The sequence below is a fragment of the Homo sapiens genome, chromosome 16, assembly GCF_000001405.40.
Source record: "Homo sapiens chromosome 16, GRCh38.p14 Primary Assembly".
Taxonomy (NCBI): Eukaryota; Metazoa; Chordata; class Mammalia; order Primates; family Hominidae; genus Homo; species Homo sapiens.
In genome coordinates, this window is record NC_000016.10 from 57,296,328 (window position 1) to 57,319,494 (window position 23,167).

Sequence of the window (23,167 nt, forward strand, 5' to 3'; positions counted from 1 at the left end):
TTTTTGTATTTTTAGTAGAGACAGGGTTTCACGATGTTGGCCAGGCTGGTCTCAAACTCCCGACCTCAGGTGATCCACCTGCCTCAGCCTCCCAAAGTGCTGGGATTACAGGTGTGAGCCACCACACCCGGCCCTGTTCAGGGGTTTTGTAGGATGTTCCTCAATTGCGATTTGTCTGATATTATTTTGTCATGATTAGACTTTGAGTAATGTATTTTTGGAAGGAAGACTACAGAGGTAAATTGCCTCTCAAGGATACCTACTATCAATGGAACCTATCAATGTTGATGTTGACCTTGATCACCTAGTAAGATTGTATTTATGTATTTATTTTTTATTTTTTGAGATGAAGTCTCACTCTGTTGCCCAGGCTGGAGTTCAGTGGCACAATCTTTGCTCACTGCAACCTGTGCCTCCTGGGTTCAAGCAATTCTTCTGCCTCAGCCTCCCGAGTAGCTGGGATTACAGGCACGTGCCACCATGCCTGGCTAATTTTTGTATTTTTAGTCGAGATGGGGTTTCACCATGTTAGCCAGACTGGTCTCGAACTCCTGACCTCAAGTGATCCACCTGCCTCAGCCTCCCAAAGTGCTGGGATTACAGTTGTGAGCCACCGCGCCCGGCCCATTTCTGGTTTCTACTTAGCTTTTTTCACTTAACTCTTTGTCTTGAGATTTTTCCGTGGTATGAACCCTTTTATTTTTTTATTTTTTATTTTTGTAAAGTAGGTTTGTGTTATTTATTTCTTTCATCACACAGTAAATATGGACCAAGCCCTATTATGTGCCAGGCCCTAGCCCCAGGGGTCCGGCTAATCACCAAGCCACAGATGGGGGGTGTTAGGGAGAGCCATTAAAAAAAGGATTACCCAGATAATGTGTTCATTACAGATGTGCTTGGATGGAGATCCAGGGAGCTGGGAGAGTCTGTGCCAGACAACTCGATTTGTAGGGGTGAGCAGGGAAGGCTTCCCGGTGGTGGAAAGATCTGGAGTGTGAGGGTGGCCTTCTTGGTGTTGAACAGAGAGACAAGGCCCTGGCCAGAGCTGCCTCCAGAGAAGCAGAGAGGGGCACAGGTGGGAGAAGTTCTGATCCCTCACTTCCTGGGGTCCCTGAGATCCAGCAACCTGCCTGCCCACCCTTCCCTCTGTCTCATGAGCCAACAAATCTCCCTTTTTTGCCAAAACGAGGGCAAGCTGAGTTTCTGTCTTTTACACCCAAAGAAACCGATGAATGGCGTTACAGTCCCCCAGCGTTTTTGGCACCAGGGACTGGGACTGGTTCTGTGGAAGACTATTTTTCCAGAGGAGGTAGGGGTGGGTTAGGAGGGTGGTTTTGGGATGATTCAAGCACATTATGTTCATAGTGCACTTTATTTCTATTATTATAACATTGTAATAGATAATGACATAATTATACAACTCACCATAATGTAGAATCAGTGGGATCCCTGAGTTTGTTTTCCTGCAACTGGACGGTCCTATCTGGAGGTGATGGGAGATCATCAGGCATTAGATTCTCATAAAGAGTGTGCAGCCTAATCCCTTGCACGCACAGTTCACAATAGGGTTCACGCTGCTATGAGGATCTAATGCTGCCCCTGATCTGACAGGAGGCGGAGCTCAGGCGATAATGCAAGCGATGGGGAGTGGCTGTAGATACAGATGCAGCTTCCTTAGCTTGTGTGTGGCTCACCTCCTGCTATGCCGCCGGTTCCTCACACGTCACAGACCGCTATAGGGGTTAGGGACCCCTGCCCCAACTCCTCCCTTCCTTCCTGTATGGCTGAGAGAGGTGAAGTGATCTACCCAAGGTCACACGGCAGGAATTCAAACGCAGTACTTCTCAACCTGTTCAAGGTTTAGCAGGGGCCTCCGGGATCCACCAGCCACGTTTGTGATGAGGGGGGAGGTGAACTCAGAGCAGTTTTGGGGAGACTGAACAGCGAAGTGGTGGGGAAAGTTGGTTTCAGACCAAAGATATTATAGAAAATTACCCCTGGATGGAATCTTCCAAATCAAATTGTGCTTTAGGGCACTGGTAGAATAATGAGTCTCCTCATCATATCCTAATCTCTGGAACCTGTGGCTCTGTTACTTTAAATGGTTAAAAGAGAGTTTGCAGCTGTGGTTAAATTAAGGCTTTGGGCCGGGCGCATTGGCTCACACCTGTAATCCCAGCACTTTGGGAGGCGGGTGGATCACTTGAGGTCATGAGTTCAAGACCAGTCTGGTCAACATGGCGAAACCCCGTCTCTACTAAAAATACAAAAATTAGCCAGGCATGGTGGTGTGTGCCTGTAGTCCCAGCTACTCAGGAGGCTGAGGATGAGGCAGGAGAATTGCTTGAACCCAGGATTCGGAGGTTGCAGTGAGCCGAGTTCGTGCCACTGCACTCCAGCCTGGGCAACAGAGTGAGACTACTTCTCAAAATAATAACAATAATAATAATAATGGATTTGGAGATGGGGTGATGACCCTGGGTTATCAGACAGGCCCAGTGTAATCACAAGGGTTGTTATAAAGAGGTTAGGCAGGAGGGTCAGAGTCAGAGAAGGTGATGTGAAGACAGAGCAAAGTTTGGAGTGGTGTGGACTGAGGAGCCAAAGAATGTGGGTGGTCTCCAGCAGCTGGAAGAGGAAAGGCAATGGATTCTCCCTTCTGGCCTCCAGACGGAATGTAACCCTGTGACCCATTTTAGACTTATGACCTCCAGAACTGTAAGATAAATAAATGGGATGGTTTTAAGCCACCAAATTTGTAGTTATGTGTTACAGCAGCAATAGAAACTCTTGAATCTCCTTGGCAGCATTTCCACCAAGTGACCATCGATCCTCGTCTTGAATGCCTCCAGCGACAGGGATATCACTACCAATACAGTCACCCTGTTTCCTTTCCAGCAAACTCTTTCTTCTCCCAAACCCATCCTCTGTAACTATTCACCCACTGCACCCCCACCTCGGGCCCCAGTTCTTGGAGCAAAAAGGACAGGCAGACACAATCCCAACCCCTTGTATATCAGGCTTTTGTAGACAGATAATAATTCTCTTCCCCAAGCTTAACAATCTCCAACTTTTTCCCTTGATCAGCTTATTAGAAAGGTCTAAAAGCCAACTCTTTCTGAATGAGGCCCTAGGTAATCATTTGCAGAGTGGGATCTCCCAACCCAAGGCCTCCCGTCCTGAGGAGCGGATGACAAAAACCTTATAGAGCGTCCTCCTTCCAACAATAATTCTCCAAACCCCGCCCCCTACTCCGCCAGTGCCCCATTCACAGCCCGAAACATCCGACCGGTATTAGTAATAGTTCATAATACCACCACTTGAGGCTCAGAGCCTGGGCAGGCAGCTAGAATTTAGCAACGTTATTTCGTTTTCATTGTGTTTATTTCTGTTGATGGTAAGGGAAACTGATTTTCCATTTAAATTATCTGTGTATTCAGTTGAAAGCGCCAGTTTGACCACAGCAGTGAGTCTCGCTGCACCGGATGGGTTTGGTTGTGGATAACCTAAGCTGCAGGCCGGACTCGGAACTGCCCGGGACACCGCCTCTGGGTTCTGAGTCCCGAGCGTCGTTGAAGCATGAGAGGAACTACATCAGACCCCAAAATAGTCTCTCCTAGGAAGTCAGGATGGCCGAGCGGTCTAAGGCGCTGCGTTCAGGTCGCAGTCTCCCCTGGAGGCGTGGGTTCGAATCCCACTTCTGACAAGCGCTCTTTTCCGGTATTTCAGAAGAGAAATCTTCGACGACCGCACACCAAGAGAGGCCCTCAAACACAGAGGACCGTACGTTTTACACACAATCCAAAGTCTAAATGAATGTCTGTGGGGAAGAAAAAGTCTGACAGGACGTGGTCGTGTGATTCTGAACTCCCAACTTCGGAGGAGGTTGAGGCGGGAGGATGTCGCCACCACACTCCAGCTTAGGCGACAGAGCGAGATTCTTTTTTAAAAAAGAAAATGCTCGTTAATAAGAAAATACTCGTTTTGTAAAACAATTAAGATTATGCGAACATATACGCACAAGACATCATAACCTCATTGATCTGTAAAAGAATAAAAAAAGATTATAAGAACATATACACAGAACACATACACACAAGACATCATAACCTCACTGATCTGCGGTGTTGATGAGGAAAAGTAATTGAGCTCTGTCAGAAGTGGGATTCGAACCCACGCCTCCAGGGGAGACTGCGACCTGAACGCAGCGCCTTAGACCGCTCGGCCATCCTGACTGCTTGCAGTGTGTGGCGCATAAAGCCTCTTCACAAGTTCTGCAATATGCGCATGCGTAGTGGGCAGCGAAGACCCACTCCTAGTTGTCCGCCCGGCGTTGGGTGGAGCGAGATACACTCACTTGCTCCAATGGGCGTGGAGAGATGGGACAAGGAAGGTCAGCGCGATGCACCTAGGCGACGCCAGAGGGTGCGCAAGGCCTACTAGAGAAGGCCGAGACCGAAGACTGTTACTTCAATACACATGCATTCGTGCCTCCAGCCTGTATTCATTCTGCATTCATACATGTACTATCATGTCAGCTTTGATTCCTGAAATCTGCAAGCAACCTTGCATTTCCCTTGTGCACAATGCAATCAAGTCCGTATACCTGCACTGATTCGCAGACATTTCCGTGGGCTGGCGCCCAATCTAGGTAAAGCCCAGGTATTGCAAGGCCGCCTGGCACTCTTACCGCGCTCTCCTTCCGAATACTCGCCCCAGCTGCAGCTTCACATTTGTATATGTGTTATAATTCATTTACTCAGGCTCCGGGATAGAACGAGGCCTGCAGCTGCACAGCCAGACCCGCCCTATTCCTATGTCCCCAGTGCCCAAACCGTACCCGGCACACAGTAGGTACGCAGGGAAGATCCCATGGATTCATTCTTCCCTCGCTTCCTCCTTCCTGCATCCCCTCATTTCGTGACTCATCTCTCTTTTCCTGGCCCCCGCGGCATCTTCCTCTCTTCCCTTCCACCCCCTCTAGGCTTACGCACGCCGCGCACAGGCTGTTTCCAGGGACCAGAAGACCTCGGTACCGAGAGGGTGCCCTTCTCCAGAAGGATTTCTAGGATCTCAGGGGGCTGGGCCGCTGACCTGGTGTGTAACAATTACACATTAATTAATGAATTCCCTCATTAATGACTCATATTCCTACAATGGCAGCTGCTGCCCCTCTCTGTACACAGGCACTAGAAGAGAGGGTCCAAGACCCTCGAACATCTCTGAGCCAACTTTGGAGTCCAGGGGTCAGGCCTAGAAGGTGTGAGCAGTGGGGTCACATTAACCTCTTAGTGCCCTCGGACTTGTCTGAGATGGTATCACAGAGCGGCCTCGGCCAGAGAACAGCAGCACTTACCACCCTTGGATTAGATTCCCTTGAGATGCTTGGAGCTTGGGATGCAGCCCCATGGGGGTGGGCAGAGGTCCTGGTTATCTGAAAGACAATGAAATCCTCCTCTTTCCCTGTCCCAAATGTCCTCTCCTCATTGACTGCCAGAATTCTTTCCTTTAGGTTTAGCACTAAACTCTTTTGTGTCCTCTTCTAAAATACAAATTGCCCTGGAAGCTGGAAAGAAAGTCAACAAACATTTATTAAGCACTTGCTATGTGCCACTCTTCTAGATGCTGTGAACAAAACAGAATTTCCACTCTCAAGATACATTCAGGCATGGAGCGAAGGGAGAAGGATAAGAAACAGGTGGACAAATACATCCAGGTGTTGTTAAATGCTGGGTAGAGGATGCATCAAGAAACTCATGAAAGACTTTAAAACAGGCAAAAAAGATAGCTGGATCTGATTCTATAAGGGCTTGCACCTTTCATTACTTTTATGTCCAAATAATTCTTGTCCACAGAAATACAGGTGAATTTTGTTAGGGTAGAATGCAATTGATCATTGCCCTGTGGATATTGACCAATTTTGCAATCTGCTTATAAATTCATTTCAGCATTCCTGATTGCCAATATATGTGTGTCTTTGAATTCTCTTTTGAATTGGCTATAACATTGAACAGGTCCTCCCATTAATTAATGACTAAAATAAAATCTTTGACGTGTTCATTTTATATTTATATGAGAATTATGATTTTATCTTAAAAATTATCCTTTTGGCCAGGCGAGGTGACTCATGCCTGTAATCCCAGCACTTTGGGAGGCTGAGGTGGGCAGATCACAAGGTCAGAAGTTCAAGACCAGCCTCGACAACATGGTGAAACCCCGTCTCTACTAAAAATACAAAAATTAGCCAGGCGTCATGGCACTTGCCTGTAATCCCAGCTACTAAGGAGGCTGAGGAAGGAGAATTGCTTGAACCCGAGAGGCAGAGGTTGCAGTGAGCTGAGATCACACCATTGCACTCCAGCCTGGGTAACAGAGTGAGACTCCATCTCAAAAAAAAAAAAATACCCTTTTAACAGTGATCAAGAGTGATTGGGGCTCTCCTAGGCAGGGTGGTTAGGGAGGGCCTCTGTGAGGAGCTGACACTGAGTTCAAAAGGAGAAACACAAGCAAGATCAAAGCTGCAGGTGGCAGCATTTCAGATAAAAGACATAGCCAGTGCAAAGGCTCTGAGGCAGAGAGAAATATAGTCTGTTGGAGGGACAGCAAGGCCAGTGTGGCAGGGGTAAGGTGATGGGAAGGTTCAGGCCATATCACACAGGGCTGGAGTGCCAGGGAAAGGAGTTTGGATTTTCTTCTGTGATGGAGTAACTGCTGTGTTTTTGTTTGTTGTTGTTGTTGTTTTGACACAGGGTCCAGCCCTGTGGCCCAGGTTGGAGTCCAGTGGCACAATCTTGGCTTACTGCAGACAATCTCCTGGTCTCAAGCAATCCCTGCCTCAGCCTCCCAAGTATTTGGGACTACAGGTGTGCACCACCACACTTGGCTAATTTTTATACTTTTTGTAGAGACAGGATCTTGACACTTTGCCCAGGCTGTTCTCGAACTCCTGAGCTCAAGAGATCCTCCGGCCTTGGTCTCCCAAAATGCTGAGATGATAGGTGTGAGCCACTGTGCCCAGCCTGGAGTGTTTTAAGCAGGGGAGTGGCATGGTCCTGAGGGCCCTTCAAAAACTATCCCTTTGGCTGCTGTGTGGAGGATGGACGGCAGGCCAAGGGAAGAATTGGAAGTCCAGGGGGAAGGCCAGGGCAGGGAGGGTAAGAGATGATGATGGCTGGACCAGGGAAGTGGAGATTGCAAAAGGTGGTAGAATTCAAGATTCAGGATGTGTTTTGGGGTAAAACACACAAGCCCTGCTGGCTGGCTGGTGTGTGTGTGGGGTGTCAGGGTGGAGAGAGAGGATGTAGGGATGCAATAGGAGGTCACGAAGGCCATAGGGGAGCCAGGTTACTAGATGCTTGGTTTCCCTTGAAGGCAAGGGCTTTGAAGCAGGGGCTGCTAGCTTCCCACTTTCACCCCATTTTGCAGACCAGGGAGGTAAGGCTCAGGTGGGCTGAGTGACTTGCCCAAGGTCCTCTTTGGGGCAGAAGCCCTGCACTCTCCACCTCTGGGACCCTCCCTTCATTTCTTGCATCACCAACCTTTCTGAGTGCACATCATTTTAGAGAGAAGGGAACAGAGGTAGCGCCAGAGCTGGAGCCCACACCAGCCCCGCCCTGCCTGCTGCCCTCCTGGCCGGCCTGGGAGAAAGTGCTCCCTTGATGGGGCTCAGCACCAGGTTCCCACACAGCTCTGTCTCTTGGGTTTGGGTGGATGATCAGGTGTCCCCCCTCGACACCTTTCATGTGACACCCTCCTGGCCTGGAGGAAGCCTTGTACCCCTAGGTCCCTGAGACCAAAATTGGGAAGGGAGAAGGCCACCATTTCTGTTTATGTCCTGTTTCCACCTTATCAGCAGCCTAGACGCCAACAATGAGCCCTGTGGGACAGGCCTCACCCATTCCCTGCTCCGGACATTTGTCCAGCTTGGGGAAAAAAAAGTCCCCTGGGTGGAGCTTGAAAAGCCCACAAGCAGCTGGGGAAGCCCCGACGTGGCTCTTCCTGTACTTTGCCCTACTTTGCACAGATGAAGTCAGATGGCCAAATGAGGACCTAGTGTTTGTCCAGCCAAGGTGCCTGAAAGGGGTAATTCCTAGCATTCCTGGGACTTCAGCACACATCACCAGCCCTCCCAGGGACAAGTGTGGCAAGAAGCTGAGTATTAGTGAATGTTTCCTTTCCATCCATTACCTCACTTAATGTTCAGCACAGCACCACAACACAGGTCATCATTACCCCCATTTTACAGGAAAGTGAGGCTCAGAGAGACCACATGAATTACCCAGAGTCACACAGCTGATAAATGGAACTTGATTTGTCTGGCTCAAAACTCCTTGAGGCCAGGTGTGGTGGCTCACACCTGTAATCCTAACACTTTGAGAGGCCGGGGTGGGAGGATCGCTTGAGCCCAGGAGGTCGAGGCTGCAGTGAGCCGTGATCATGCCACCTCACTCCAGCCCGGGCAACAGAGTGAGATGCTGTCTCAAAAACAAAACAAAACAAAACAAAACAAAACAAAACCCCTTCTTGAATGCTGTGTGCCTAGCATTGTGCCAAGCACTTTCTTTACATTGTCTCCTTAATAAAGGCCATGAGGCCGGGCGCGGTGGCTCACACCTGTAATCCTGGCACTTTGGGAGGCCGAGGCGGGCGGATCACCTGAGGTCAGGAGTTCGAGACCAACCTTACCAACATGGTGAAACCCCATCTCTACTAAAAATACAAAAAATTAGCCAGTCATGGTGGCAGGCGCCTGTGATCCCAGCTACTCGGAAGGCTGAGGCAGGAAAGTTGCTTGAACCCAGGAGGCAGAGGTTGCAGTGAGCCGAGATCGTGCCACTGCACTCCAGCCTGGGCGCGACAGAGCGAGACTCCATCTCAAAAAGAAAAAAAAAAAAAAAGCCACGAGGGCTTGCCAATTCACATGGCAGGATGGACTTTGAGATGCTGTTTTTAGTCCTGTTTGTTTTCATTATTAAAGGAGATTTAAAAGAAAGGGTAGGATTTTCCCAGTAAGGCAGTCCAAGTAGCATGGCCAAGCTTTTGTTATTTAGGCTCTGGTTTTCTTGGCTGAGGGTGGAGGGCAGAAGCCACAGGGTGCCAGGAGCAAATGCCTGTTAAAGTCCTTGTTTGGACATCTTGACCACTGAGGGGAGAAGCCAGGCCAGCCCCAGGGGAATGGGGGAATCTGGAGGTGAAGTGGATGAGGCAGGCAAAGATGTCTAACAGGATGGGGTAGGGAAAATTTGGTCCCTCAGGAGCTGGAGCCAAAGACCCCAAGGTCCACCCTTGGCATAGAGGGAGTCAGGCGGCTCAATTTCTTGGCTATGAGTGGATCACGTGGACAGTGAGCATTTCAGTGACGACCAGAATAGACCAAAGGCCAGGAGCTCACTTCCAAGTTCTCTGGACTGCTTCTGCCCATGCCCCCTAAGCCTTTGGCCACCCTAGAAGGAGAACCCCAGGAATGGCTGAGACGACAGCTTACCACCCTGATAGGCAGGGAGTAGAGGGCCAATTTTTTTTGAAATGGAGTTTCGCTCTTGTTGCCCAGGCTGAAGTGCAATGGTGTGATCTCGGCTCACTGCAACCTCCATTTCCCAGTTCAAGTGATTCTCCTGCCTCAGCCTCCTGAGTAGATGGGATTACAGGCGCCCACCACTACCCCCAGCTAATTTTTTTTTTTTTTGTATTTTTAGTAGAGATGGGGTTTCACCATGTTGGCCAGGCTGGTCTTGAACTCCTGACCTCAGGCGATCCACCTGCCTCGGCCTCCCAAAGTGCTGGGATTACAGGTGTGAGCCACCATGCCTGGCTGGCCAATTTTAATTTGAGCCCTCGTGGCTGAGTGCATGGACTCTGGGACCACCTGAGTTCAAATCCTGCTTCTGCCATTTGCTAGCTCTGTGACCTTGGGGGAGTTACTTAGCCTCTCAGTTCCCCAGTTTCGCCATCTGTAAAATGGGCTTAGTACTAATATCTATCTTAGAGGATTTTTGAGAAGATCAAATAAGTTAATACATGCTGAGCACTTAGAGTGCCTGGAGCAGAGTAAATGCTTTATGTGTTAGCCCAGCAAAATAAAACAATGTGACTTTTTTATTTTATTTTATTTTTTTTGAGACAAGATCTTACTCTGTCACCCAGGCTGGAGTGTAGTGGTGCAATCACAACTAACTCCAGCCTCGACTGCCTGGGCTCAAGTGATCCTTCCACCTCAGCCTCCCGAGTAGCTAGCACTACAGGCACAAGCCACCACGCCTGGCTAATTTTTGCAAAAAAACATTTCTGTAGAGATGGGGTCTCAATATATTGCCTAGGGTGGTCTTGAACTCCTGGCCTCAAGCACACCTCCCACCTCAGCCTCCCAAAATGCTGAGATTATAGGCATGAGCCACTGTGCCCAGCCTAATATGACAGTTCTTGTGCCTGGTGAATACTATGGGGCCAGTTTGACCTGCCAATCTGACTTTGTGGAGAGAATCTCTAGCCTGCCCTCCCCACAACCACAGTGCATCCTGACTGCCTCACCTGAGTCAGCCGTGACCAGCTTTCCGACCTCTTCCCCCACCTTCATCTCCCACCTCCATTTATCTGGTTTTCCAATACAAAACGTACTCCCTCTGCAGGGTCTATGAAACTGGCCGTTTCCTCTGTCTAGAGCCATCTTCTTCAAATGACTCTTCCTCAGCGCGTGGCTAAAGCAGCCCCCACCTCTCCTCCCACTCATTTGCTATCTGGCCACCCTATTTGAGATCCGAAGTCACCGTGTTCATTGGCTGGCTTATCTGTTGATCGTGTTTCTCCCTGACTAGGCTCTGGGCTCTGCGAAGGCAGGGACCTTGGCCATCTAGTTCACCAGGGTATTCCTGGCAGGTAGGGCATTCCTGTCACATAGCAGGAGCTTGGTAAATAAATAGTACATGAGTGGGTGAACGGACAAAGGGATGCATGGATGGATGGATGGACGGACGGACAGACGACTGAGTCAATTCTCTGGGCTCTTCAAGTCAGCTTTTTGTGCCTCTCTAGTGGAGCTCAGGAAGCCTGGGTTCCCCCCTGGGAAGGCCATTCATGACCCTTGCCTTCCCCAGGAGTCTTCATCTCTGAGTCCCGTGCCTAGCCCTCCCCATTGGGATAACAACCCTTTTGCCTGCCTGGGCTTGGGGACCTCCAGACCCTCGGGAAGGTCCATCTGCTCTGTCTTTCTGGGCTAAAAGGTTCCTGTGTTCTGCTCAGAGCTGCACCAGGGCAGAGTTTTCTCTCGGGGTGGGCTGCATCCTTAGTGTGGGGTATGGGATGCAGTGTCTGAGGTCGAGGCCTCTGGATGGTCTCCTGATGTGCTTCCTATGGCCATATCAGTAGCAACAGGTGGAAATACTGCTGTGCTCCTTGGTAAATGGGGCTGCAATGAGCCTCCCATAGTCCCCACGACCATCCTGGCCCTTCCCCTCTCCGGGATTCCCCACAACCCCCAAAACTCCTGGGCACCCAGCACTAAGGCTATTATCTGCTCTCACTGGCATGTGCCCTACTAGCCATCACATCTTTTGAACATTTCCGCCAGACTAAGATCATGTCTTTCCTGTTCAATCTCATACTCCAGTACTCTTGGGAGCCTCTTTTTATTCAATCCAACCTGCATTCTGGTCACTTTTCACTCTCACCTCACATCCCTCTCCCTCCCCATCCTGTGTGGCCCCCTTAGTCTTTGGGTACCAAACCTCCTGATTCTCCTTTGGGAAACCCCTCCGTGGCCACTGTCAGTCCCATCAGGAAAGGTGAGGCTGACTCTCCTCTCCTCTCATGCTGGGAATGGTCAGACGACTCACATCTGCTAGTCAGCCATTCCACCCATCTTGCCACAACACTGATTGGTTCAGAAATGAGTGCAGAATTCCAGTTGGTCCAGTGGGAGTCTGGCCTGGGGGAACACTTGGAATAGAGAAGCTGGGTGCGGGGTCAGGTGGCTGAGCTGGTGGTGGCTGTCTTTGCTATGCCATCCAGAACCTACTTGAGAAGGAAAGCTGGAAAATATACAATGTCAGCTCTCTGACGACATTGACGACATTGGAAAGCCTGGAGCTAGCTGTCCCTCAATTTATCCCTTTTGGTCTTGTCAGTTTCATGAGCCAATGCCCTTTTTCACTTATGCCAGTTTAATGTGAACCTCTGTCACATGTAACCCAAAGAAAAATACAGCCTGGACCTGTACCCTCCCACACAGTAGTCACTCACTGGCTCTTGAGCATTTGAAATGTGGCCAGTCCAGGCCAGGTGTAGTGGCTCACGCCTGTAATCCTAGCACTTTGGGAGGCCGAGGCAGGCAGATCACTTGAGGTCAGGAGTTCGAGACCATCTTGGCCAACATGGCAAAACCCCATCTCCACTAAAAATACAAAAATTAGCTGGGCATGGTGGTGTACACCTGTAATCCCAGCTACTCAGGAGGGTGAGGCAGGAGAATTGCTTGAATCCGGGAGGCAGAAGTTGCAGTAAGCTTAGATCATGCCACTGGACTCCAGCCTGGACAATAGAGTGAGACTCCATCTCAAAAAAAAAAAAAAGTAAATAATATAATATAAAATAAAATAAAAAAAGAAATGTGGCCAGTCTGAATTCAGAGGGATCATGAGTGTAAAATACAAAGTAGGTTTCAAAGACAGTATGAAAAAAATGTAAACTGTTTTATTATTAATTTTCAATGTAATTATACTTTGGCCATGTTGGGTCAAATAAAAATATATTATTAAAATTAATTTCCACTGTTTCTATTTACTTTTTTCAATGCTGCTACTAGAAAAATTTAATTTCTGGCTGGGTGCGGTGGCTCATGCCTGTAACCCCAGCACTTTGGGAGGCTGAGGCAGATGGATCACTTGAGGTCAGGAGTTCAAGACTAGCCTGGCCAACATGGTGAAACCCCATCTCTACCAAAAATACAAAAAAAGTAGATGGGTGTGGTGGCACACGCCTTTATTCCCAGTTACTCAGGAGGCTGAGACAGGAGAATCGCTTGAACCTGGGAGGCGGAGGTTGCAGTGAGCTGAGATTGTGCCATTGCACTGTAGTCTTGGCGACACAGCGAGACTCTGTTTAAAAAAAAAAAAAAAAAAACGGAAAAAGAATAAGAAAAAGAAATTGAATTTCCTGTGTGGCTTGTGTCATATTTCTATTGGGCAGTGCTAGCTTAGATGGCTCCTCTGCAAAACATCAGGAAACAAGAGATCAGATCCTGCCTGATTAAATGATGCAGACTTAGTGGAAGAGAAAGAACTCCAGGGATGCCAAAGAGGAGGAGGTGTGCTGGAGAAGGTGGGCAGAGAAGGACCGGTCTGACCTATATGGGCTGAGAGGAGGGGGAAGGCATTCCATGGAGCCCATCATGAGCAAAGGCCTAGGGGTGGGACTGAGAGAAGATGGGTCTCAGGAGAACCAAGGATGGTATGGAGTCCAGTTGAGATAGGGCATCAATTTCTCCAGGAAAGCCAGGGATCCTGGGGAAAGTGCAATAAAGAGGGACAAATATTCCATTTTCCTTTCAATCACTACACATTTTCTATGGGCATCATTTTAAAATCATTATTTATTTTTATTTTATTTATTTATTTTTAAGATGGAGCCTCGCTCTGTTGCCCAGACTGGAGTGCAGTGGCATGATCTCAGCTCGCTGCAGTCTCTGCTTCCTGGGTTCAAGAGATTCTCCTGTCTCTGCTTCCGAAGTAGCTGGGATTACAAGCGCACACTACCACGCCCGGCTAATTTTTGTATTTTTAGTAGAGATGGCGTTTCACCATGTTGGCCAGGCTCGTCTCGAACTCCTGGCCTCAAGTGATCCACCCGCCTCAGCCTCCCAAAGTGCTGGCAAGACAGGCATGAGCCACCAGGCCTGGCCTTATTTATATTTTAGAGAAAGGCCTTGCTCTGTCACCCAGGCTGGAGTGCAATGGTGCAATCTTGGCTTGCTGCAGCCTCAAACTCCTGGGCTCAAAAGATCCTGCTGCCTCAGCTTCCTGAGTAAGCTGGGGCTACAGGTGTTTGGCCACCATGTCCCGCTAATTGAAACAACAACAACAAAATTTTTTTTTTTTTTTTGTAGAGACAAGGTCTACGTTGCCCAGGCTGGTCTTAAACTCCTGGCCTCAAGCAATCCTCCTGCCTTGGCTTCCCAAAGTGTTGAGATTACAAGCATGAGCCACTGCTCCTGGCCCTGTGTGCATCGTGAGAGCCCAGAGCTGGTGCAGCCATTTCTCCAGCCTTCCAGAGTCAGAGCTAGCCCCTAAACTGCTTGGACCCAGTGTTGCAGGCCATATCCGGGACGCAAACCCATCCAAGTGGGGCTTCCAAGGAGGGAAATGGGGACCACAACCCTGGGGAGGGGAAGGAACCCACAGCTGAAGCCCTTTTCCACCTGCGTGAAGCCACTCAGAGTTTTGACATTTCCTCTGGAAATTCTTTATCTTCAAATAACTCCCCATTTCCCTCTGGATTTTGATATGCCTAATGCTATTTTCTCCAGGCCTGTTTGTTGCAGTCTTTCTCTATGGTTGCTGGGACTCAGATCCTAGAAGACCAACCTATGTCCTTTGTCCTGGGGACCTCAGCAGAGGATGTGCCAGCAGGGGCACAGGTGGGTCTGCCCAGGGGAGGTGCCTGGACAGGCAACAGGTGGACTCTTGGAGTCCCAGGAGGTCATGACAGGGTGGTGCAAGTCGCGTGCCCTGTTCCCCAGCCAGAGACACGGTGGGCAGGGCAGGGGAGGGTGGGGGCTGGGGGAGTCATGTTTCCCAAAATGCACTGCTTTTGCAACGTGAAAGGAAAAAGAGCCATGAAAATTACTTTTCATTCTAAAAAAAGAGCATTACTGATGCCTCCTTTGTTCTCCAAAGGTTTCAGCAGATATACAGAGCAAGTTTCTTCATTTATCAAGTTCCTCATAAAAATGAGAGTCTGATGCAAAATTTTTCTAGGTCAGGTTGTCTGAGAAAGTTTCCAAGTTGCTGAAGGAGCTCAACACCTTCACCCGCCCTCAGCTCTCCTCTGGTTCCCTCCCACGGGAGCCTTTCCTGACCTCCAGCCTGGGTCAGCTCCCCTGTCTGCACCAGAACCCTTGGCATGGTGTGTGTGTGTGTGTGTGTGTGTGTGTGTGTGTGTGTGTGTGTGTCAGAGAGAGAGAGAGAGAGGAGAGTCTTAGGCTACGTGTGTCCCCACCAGACCCCACACTCATGTGAGCTGGGACTCTTCAATCCCCACAGATCTTGGTGCCTGCTTCCCTGTAGGAACTGTTTTTGTTTTTGAGACAGGGTCTTGCTCTGTCACCCAGGTTGGAATGCAGTGGCTCGATCATGACTCAATGCAGCCTCAACCTTCTAGGCTCAAATGATCCTCCCACCTCAGCCTCCCGACTTGCTGGGACTTTAGGCATGCACCACCAAGCCTGGATAACTTTTGTATTTTTTGTAGAGACAGAGTCTCACTATGTTGCCCAGGGTGGTCTCGAATTTCTGGACTCAAGTGATCCTCCTGCCTTGGCCTCCAAAAGTGCTGGGATTTCAGTCACTGAGGCTGGCCTCCTTGTAGGAAGTATTTATTAATTGAAAGAACAAATGAATAAATCCCCCAATAAATCCCCAATTCAGAGTGTTTCCCCCGTATGTTCATAGCACCCCAACTAGGGCCCTCAGTACTTGTGCTCAAGTCCTCAAGATTACATTTTGGGGATCCAGTTCTCTCCTGGTTAATGTCTGACTATGGAAGAGAAGGATGTTCCTCTCTCCACCTGCCCAGCTCTTCAATTGACCTCTTGGCCATCAGATTGAGTGGCCACCCTGTGCCAGCCCCAGAGACCCCACGTGGGTCTGGGGGCAGTACTGTGTGTTTTCATGAAGTTCCTAGTTGTCTCTGGAGTGTTCGGGAACCACATTTACAGGTGAGTCAAATGGAGCCACAACTGAATGTTCAGGTCCCCATCCTCTGAGAACTGTTGGGGGAAAACTGAGGTAAGGGATTTGGAAACGTTCAGAGAAGATGAAGAGGGTCTGGAGCAAGGGTGAGTGCAGATCCTCAGGAGCAGATGGTCCCTTTCAAGCTATTTGTGCACACCTCAGGAGGCAGGAGTGTTGAACTGTGAGGTTCTTCATCAAATCTCTTCAAGGCATTAGTGCCATGTGGGTGGGAGAGGTGACGAAAGGAAGCCCTAGAATTCTGCTAGCTTGGCGAGGGGCGGTGGCTCACGCCTGTAATCCCAGCACTTTGGGAGGCTGAGGTGGGCAGATCACCTGAGGTCAGTAGTTCAAGATTAGCCTGACCAACATGGAGAAACCCCGTCTTTATTAAAATTACAAAAAATTAGCTGGGCGTGGTGGCACATGTCTGTAATCCCAGCTACTCAGGAGGCTGAGGCAGGAGAATCGCTTGAACCTGGGAAGCAGAGGCTGTGGTGATCCGAGATCACGCCATTGCACTCCAGCCTGGGCAACAAGAGCGAAACTCCGTCTCAAAAAAAAAAAAAAAAAAATTCTGCTAGCTTACCGGCAGATCACCTGAGATTAGGAGTTTGAGACCAGCCTGGCCAACATGGTGAAACCTCGTCTCTACAAAAAATACAAAGATTAGTTGGGCATGGTGGCACATGCCTGTAGTCCCAGTTACTCGGGAGGCTGAGGCAGGAGGATCAGTTGAGCCCCGGAGGTGGAGGTTGCAGTGAGCCGAGATCGTGCCACTGCACTCCAGCCTAGGCGACAGAGTAAAACTCTTTCTCAAAAATAAATACATAAAATAAAAAGAATTCTGCTGCCTTGGAATCTTGGGCAGAAGGGCAAGGGCATTGAGGGAGGGGCCCAGCTTTGGCCGGGGGACAGGTGGCATCTGGCTGGCACAATAGTGTAACTAGAAGACCACAACTAGGACTTGATCGGGCAGAAGAGGACAGGACTTTGGCGGTGATGGCTTGGCCACAAGATGGATGTGGCGTCTCTGAGGGGTGGGCTCTGACAGAGGGTATGAGGGGAGGCTGGTGGGGATGGGTGTGTGCCAGCATCTATGTCTATGGGTGTGTAGAAGTGTGTCTTTGTGTCTCTGGAAATGAGAACACGTGTGAGTGTCTGAAGTGTGTTTTTGTACATTGCACATGTGTGATTGTGTGCAAGTGTATATGTTGGTTCAGAAATAGTCTATGGGGATGAGGGCACTGGGCTGGGTGAGTGTATATATGTCTGTGGAGGCATTTTCATGCAGCTGGGTTAGTCACTGTGGGGTTTTGTGTGTATGTGTGTGTGTATGTGTGTGTAAGTGGGTGTATATGTGTATATATGTATATATGTGTGTATGTGTGTATGTGTGTGTATATGTATATGTGTGTATGTCTGTGTGCATGTGCGTGTATATGTGAGTATGCATGTGTATGCATGTGTGTGTATGTGTGTGTATATGTATGTGTGTGTGTGTATGCGTGTATATGTTTGTGTGGTGGGGATGAGGAGTGATAAGGATGGGGCAAAGAAGCACTATGAACTTGGGATTGAGCTGATCAGAGCTGTACTGCTGGTAGACTTGTGGAAAGTTCTAGACTTGGGGGCAGAAGAGCCATATTCAAATCCCACCTTTGCCACTTTTCAGCACATGGCCTCAATGGTTTCTCCCCCTCTCCGTGCCTCAGTTTCCTCATCTATAAAATGGGCATCATTACCCTTATGATCTCCTGGGGCTGACCAGGACACCAAGAACCCTGGTGGCTCAGTTCACCCTGAGGAAAGGGAATGAGAAGGGGGCTCCTGTTCTTCTGTGCTCTTGGAATTTCTTACCAAGAGCATGTGTTATTTTTATAATAAAAAAGAAGCTGGAAAAAGGTGTCGGTGAACTGGAACCCCTGGACACATTTCTCAGCCCAGCTGGGGAGATGCTTGTGGTTCTGGAGAGAGAGGACCACAGTCAGGGCTTGAGGTTGTTTGCCAGGGGATAGGGTGTGAGGCTGGGTAGGCTCTGGATGGCCTCTCCCTCCCCAGGAGCCAGCTCTGAATGTCATTGCCTAACTTTGAGAAGATAGGGATGCTGCTTCCAGGAGGCCTGCCAGCTTGTATACCTGACCAAGGAGAATGGAACCCCACCCAGTGCCTGGACAAACAGGACAAAATCACCTGCAGAAACAGCTCCTACCAGACATGAGATTAAGTCAAATGGAAACTTAGCTTTCACAATGTCAGTTTCTTTTTCTTTCCTTTTACTTATTGACTTTTAATTCTCCCATGTCCCAGATGAATCACAAAAAGCTGTTATCAGAGATTTCCTCTGATTACCTTGCCTCTGGGGAGGGAGGTAAAGGCTTTCACTTTCCTTTTTTGTACCTTTCATAATAAGGTTTGAATTTTCTAACCTTGTGTATCTCTTTTCCCTGTTTCTGCCCCCACTTCCTCCTCCTGCAGGCATTAGGTCTCTGACCAGAGATCCTGCCTTTTGGGGGGTTTTCTTCTTGGAATCTCAGTGTATGTGTATTAAAAGGAAACAAAAACTGCAGTCAATGTTATATAATTTTTTAAAAATACCAAAGTGCTGGATTTCAATACTTTTCTATTTTTTACAGTGCATACATATATATGTATATATATGTGTGTGTATATATATCCCCCCCACAGGGATTACATTTGCATAATTTAACTTTCAAAAGGTGCAAAGTAAGAATAAACAGATGAAAACTTTCCTTCCATCCCTGACTCCTGCTTCCTTCCCCAGAGGCAAGCCCTGCGGTACTGGTTCCTCATGTAGCCCTCCAGGAAATTTTCTGCATATACAAGTTGATGTATACAGGCATTCCCACCTTCCCCCACCTTTCTCCTTAAACTGTCATCTTCTATGCATACTGGCCTTGTTCTTTTTCCTCCTCCACTTAACAATGTATCTTGGTGGTTGTTTGCAAGAGCACAGAAATGCCTATAAAATCTGGTCATTTTACAGAAGGGGAAACTGAGGCCCAGAGAGGTCTAGAACCCAGTCTTGAATCACGGTTCAGGGCTCCTTCTTCAAGTTGAAGGTGAAATGGGTAGGGATAAACTTTTCCTGCTCAGACACATCCTTTTACAAGGCTCCTTCACTGAGTGAAATGGAACTTAGGCCAAGATTTATTTGTTTGTTTGTCTTAGGTGCCTCGGATTCTCAGAAGGAAAACAGGAAACCAGTGCCTCGCTCCCTCAGAGATGGCTGCCTTCCAGCCCAAACAGGGGTCTGGTCTGTGGAACTCCCTCCAGCTCTGCCACGATAACTGTGTGGCCTCCGGTGGGTCGCCTCCCCTCTCTACATCTCCCCAGCTGGAATTTGTTGCTTTCTCTTCTGGGTTCCCACAACATGGTTTATAACCATTTCAACCAACCCCCTAACTTCCTCTTCTCACCCTTAAATCATCTTTAGTTAATTGAGCATTTACGATGTTCCGGGGCTGTGTCCAGTACTTTTCATGTGTTGAAGTCTCAAAACAATATTGAGAGGTAGGGGGAATTTTTTTTTTTTTATGAATAAGAAAACTGAGGCTGGCTCATGCCTGTAATTCCAGCACTTTGGGAGGCCAAGATGGGCAGATTACTTGAAGTCAAGAGTTCGAGACCAGCCTGGGCAACATGGTGAGACCTCATCTCTAAAAAACAACAACAACAACAAACCACACACACACACACACACACACACACACACACACACACACACACACAATCCTGAGGCTTAAAGAGGTAAAATAACTTCCCTTCTTCCCTTACATCACACAGTTAGTGTTGAAGGCAGAAATCATACCAGGGCAGCTCTGCCAACTCAGAGTTCCTAATGTAATCCACTGCTCCCTTGCACCTAGATATTAAAGTGTGAGCTTAGGCATCCCAAAAAGGCTGGGCCCAGAGAAGGAAGGCAGATAGCCCAAAGACACACAGCTACTGGGGGTGAGTGGGAAGTGGAACGTTTCTTAGGCTTTTTGGATATTTATCATGTGCTGGATGCTGGTGACATGGAGATGAATAGAACACCTTCTGTTTGCTCCCAAGTTGCTCAGGGGATCTTCTCATCTGTATAATGGTCGGAGTTAGGTGTTGGCCAGCACCTACCTGGCTTAGACCATTGGTGCCTCCAGAGTGATGAGCAATAGCTAGGCACCAGGCACTGTGCAGTTTGCAAGTGTATTCTTCATAGCAACCTAAGAAAACAGGTGCCCTTGTCCCATTTTATAGATGAGGAAACTGAGGCATGGAGAGGCGAAGGAGCAGCAGCCCTGGCACCAGAGCTCTGGTCTGACCCAGCCTAGTCCTAGCTATCCCACAGCTCTATCTCCTTGGCTTGGGAACTGCAGGGCACTGTGAATGAGTATGGGGGAAGGTAGTGTATAAATCATACTTCCGATTATTATTATCAGTGGGGTATTGGCACTGGAGGGGCATCATCAAGTCTGGGTGGGAAGAGTGGATGTTTGGACAGAGGCCCTTTCCTGGCCTTTCATCATCCAAAACAGAGCAGCCAAACTCCTTCCTCAGACAGGAAGGTGACTCAGATGTTCCTCTAGGAAAGTCCAAGTCCAGCTGGGAGCCCAGAAAGTCCCACTGGCCCTCCCAGAAGCTCCTTGGTTTCTCTCCACAGCGTGGTCTGAGAGGAAAGTTCCCAGGTGATTTCTCTGGCAGGGAGACATAGAGCTCTCAGCAGCTGAAGAACAATCAGAAAAAATTTTTTAAAAATCTCAATCCTGGGATCCCTAGATATGGGGAAACTGAGGTCACAGAGAGGCAGTGGTTTACCCAAAGTCCCACAGAAAGTTAGAGGCAGAGGCCAGTCCTATCTGGAACGCGGAACGGCACTGGCCAAGGCTGCTGTGTGCTGGAGGCTGAGGACACTGTGATGGGCCAGGCCCAGGGCCTGCCGGGAAGTGCTTCTGGCTCAGCAGGGGGCAAGGCCCTGGCTGGGCAAAGGCTGCATGGCATGTCCACTCTGTGCTGGAGGGAAGTGGCTGCCCAATGGCCCAGAGGAGGACACCATGAAATTCTGTCTGGTGTGTGTGCACGTGCTGGGGACATATCAGGGCTCTCAGATGGGGGTCTGGAAAGATGCATTTTGCCAGGTGGAGAAGGGAGGAAGGACTTTCCTGTAGGAGGGAACAGCATGAGCTGAGGCTCAGAGGTGGGCACTTTGCCCAGGGACTGTGAGGTGCAGTGGAATGTATGAGTTGAGAACATGGATGTTGGAATCAGACTAGTTAAGTTTGAATCCTGGCTCTATCACCTACACCTGTGCACCTTGGCAAGCATTCTAACCTCTTGGTGCCTCAGTTTCCTTCTCTGTTTTTTGTTTGTTTGTTTGTTTTTGAGATGGAGTCTCACTCTCGCCCAGGTTGGAGTGCAATGGCGTGGTCTCGGCTCACTGCAACCTCCACCTCCCAGGCTCAAGCAATTCTCGTGCCTCAGCCTCTCGAGTAGCTGAGGCTACAGGCACGCGCCAACATGTCTCTCTAAATTTTTTGTATATTTTGTAGAGATGGCATTTCGCCATGTTGACCAGGCTGGTCTTGAACTCCTGACCTCAAGCAATCCACGGGCCTCGGCCTCCCAAAGTGCTGGGATTACAGGCGTGAGCCACTGCACCCAGCCTCAGTTTCCTTCTCTGTAAAATGGAGAGAAAATAGTACCTACCTCAAAAGATTTTTGTGATAATTAAATAAATTAATCCACATAAAAGGCCTAAACAGAGATAGGCACATAGTTATTAATTGCTATTTCGAACATTGTATTCAGGTTCAGCGTGGTCCAGAACTAGATCTGGATTCTCCTTCCGTGCTCTTACCTCTGCACTCAGTTCCATTTTGCTATTTTGGGGCTCCAAGAAATCCTTCTCACAACCTCACTCAGTGTTGCAGACCCCTGAAGGGTGGTATGGAGAAAGGGCAATCCGGGAAAAAGGGCTTGTGGGGCTTTTGGAAAATTCCCAGCTGTGGGATTGGGATTCAACCCTAGAGGTTAGGACAAGAGGGAGGAGGTTTCTCTAGGAAGATGGGAGTTGAGGAAGGGGGGCTGCCCCAGATGGAGCAGAGAGACACCCCCGCCCCCTGCAGGGGCCCTCTTGCCTCTGCTCTGGAAGGACAGGTCCACCGGAGAGGGAGGTCACAGATTTACACGCATCTGTAACACAGAAAGAATTTGCATGGGCCTCCCAGGCAGGGACACAGAATACCCAGAATAGCAGGAATAGCTGGGCTGGGAATAGCAGGGGAGGGCAGAGTGGCGCTCGGGACTCTTTGAGCAGCTCAGCCTCCTGCCCTGGTTTGGGGGTCCTCTGTCCCTCCTGCAGCCAGCACTCTGCCATCTTTGTGACCCAGCTGCTCTCTGGGTCTGCATCTTTTTCTGTAGTGGCTGCTGCTACATTCTCCTTAGGTCAGCCACGGCTCCCACTTCCTCACGTCCTTCCCTGGGGTGGGTGGGGGATGGGGTCTTGGCTTCTGTGACATTCCCTTCCCCATGTCAGAAGCACAGCGGGGGCCGGACGTGGTGGCTCACGCCTGTAATCTCAGCACTTTGGGAGGCTGAGGTGGGCAGATCACCTGAGGTCAGGAGTTTGAGACTGGCCTAGACAACTGGCGAAACCCTGTCTCTATTAGAAATGCAAAAATTTGCTGGGCGTGGTGGTGGGTGCCTATAATTCCAGCTACTCAGGAGGCTGAGGCAGGAGAATCGCTTGAACCCGGGAGGTGGAGATTGCAGTGAGCCGAGATCGGGCCACTGCACTCCACCCTGGGTGACAGAGCAAGACTCTATCTCAAAAAAACAAAAAAATCTTTGCTATTGTGAATAGTGCTGCAATAAACATACGTGTGCATGTGTACTCATAGTAGAATGATTTATAATCCTTTGGGTATATTCCCAGTTGATAGACTGGATAAAGAAAATGGGGCACATATACACCATGGAATACTATGCAACCATAAAAAAGAATGAGATCATGTCCTTTTCAGGAACAAGGATGAAGCTAGAAGCCATCATTCTCAGTAAACTAACACAGGAACAGAAAACCAAACACCACATGTTCTCACTCATAAGTGGGAATTGAACAATGAGAACACATGGACACAGGGAGGGGAACATTACCCACTGGGGCCTGTCAGGGGGTGGGGGCAAGGGGAGGGATAGCATTAGGACAAATACCTAATGCATGCAGGGCT

At 49.0% G+C, this 23,167-nt stretch overlaps 2 non-coding genes across 2 annotated transcripts, besides 5 other annotated features; one reads left to right on the forward strand and one right to left on the reverse strand.

Annotated features, from left to right (window-relative positions):
• Positions 3,348-3,477: an enhancer, noted in NCBI's record as "active region_10888". NCBI's record gives its function as "activates an Ori minimal core promoter by ATAC-STARR-seq in GM12878 lymphoblastoid cells {active_cell/tissue: GM12878}" and the evidence as "EXISTENCE:reporter gene assay evidence [ECO:0000049][PMID:35858748]".
• Positions 3,598-3,807: a silencer, noted in NCBI's record as "silent region_7528". NCBI's record gives its function as "represses an Ori minimal core promoter by ATAC-STARR-seq in GM12878 lymphoblastoid cells {active_cell/tissue: GM12878}" and the evidence as "EXISTENCE:reporter gene assay evidence [ECO:0000049][PMID:35858748]".
• TRL-CAG2-1 (tRNA-Leu (anticodon CAG) 2-1) lies at positions 3,624-3,706 on the forward strand. Its single transcript has one exon. It is a non-coding gene; the product is annotated as a tRNA-Leu (tRNA).
• Positions 3,888-3,947: an enhancer, noted in NCBI's record as "active region_10889". NCBI's record gives its function as "activates an Ori minimal core promoter by ATAC-STARR-seq in GM12878 lymphoblastoid cells {active_cell/tissue: GM12878}" and the evidence as "EXISTENCE:reporter gene assay evidence [ECO:0000049][PMID:35858748]".
• Positions 4,098-4,267: a silencer, noted in NCBI's record as "silent region_7529". NCBI's record gives its function as "represses an Ori minimal core promoter by ATAC-STARR-seq in GM12878 lymphoblastoid cells {active_cell/tissue: GM12878}" and the evidence as "EXISTENCE:reporter gene assay evidence [ECO:0000049][PMID:35858748]".
• Positions 4,153-4,235, reverse strand: TRL-CAG2-2 (tRNA-Leu (anticodon CAG) 2-2). The gene has a single exon. It is a non-coding gene; the product is annotated as a tRNA-Leu (tRNA).
• Positions 7,831-7,880: an enhancer, noted in NCBI's record as "active region_10890". NCBI's record gives its function as "activates an Ori minimal core promoter by ATAC-STARR-seq in GM12878 lymphoblastoid cells {active_cell/tissue: GM12878}" and the evidence as "EXISTENCE:reporter gene assay evidence [ECO:0000049][PMID:35858748]".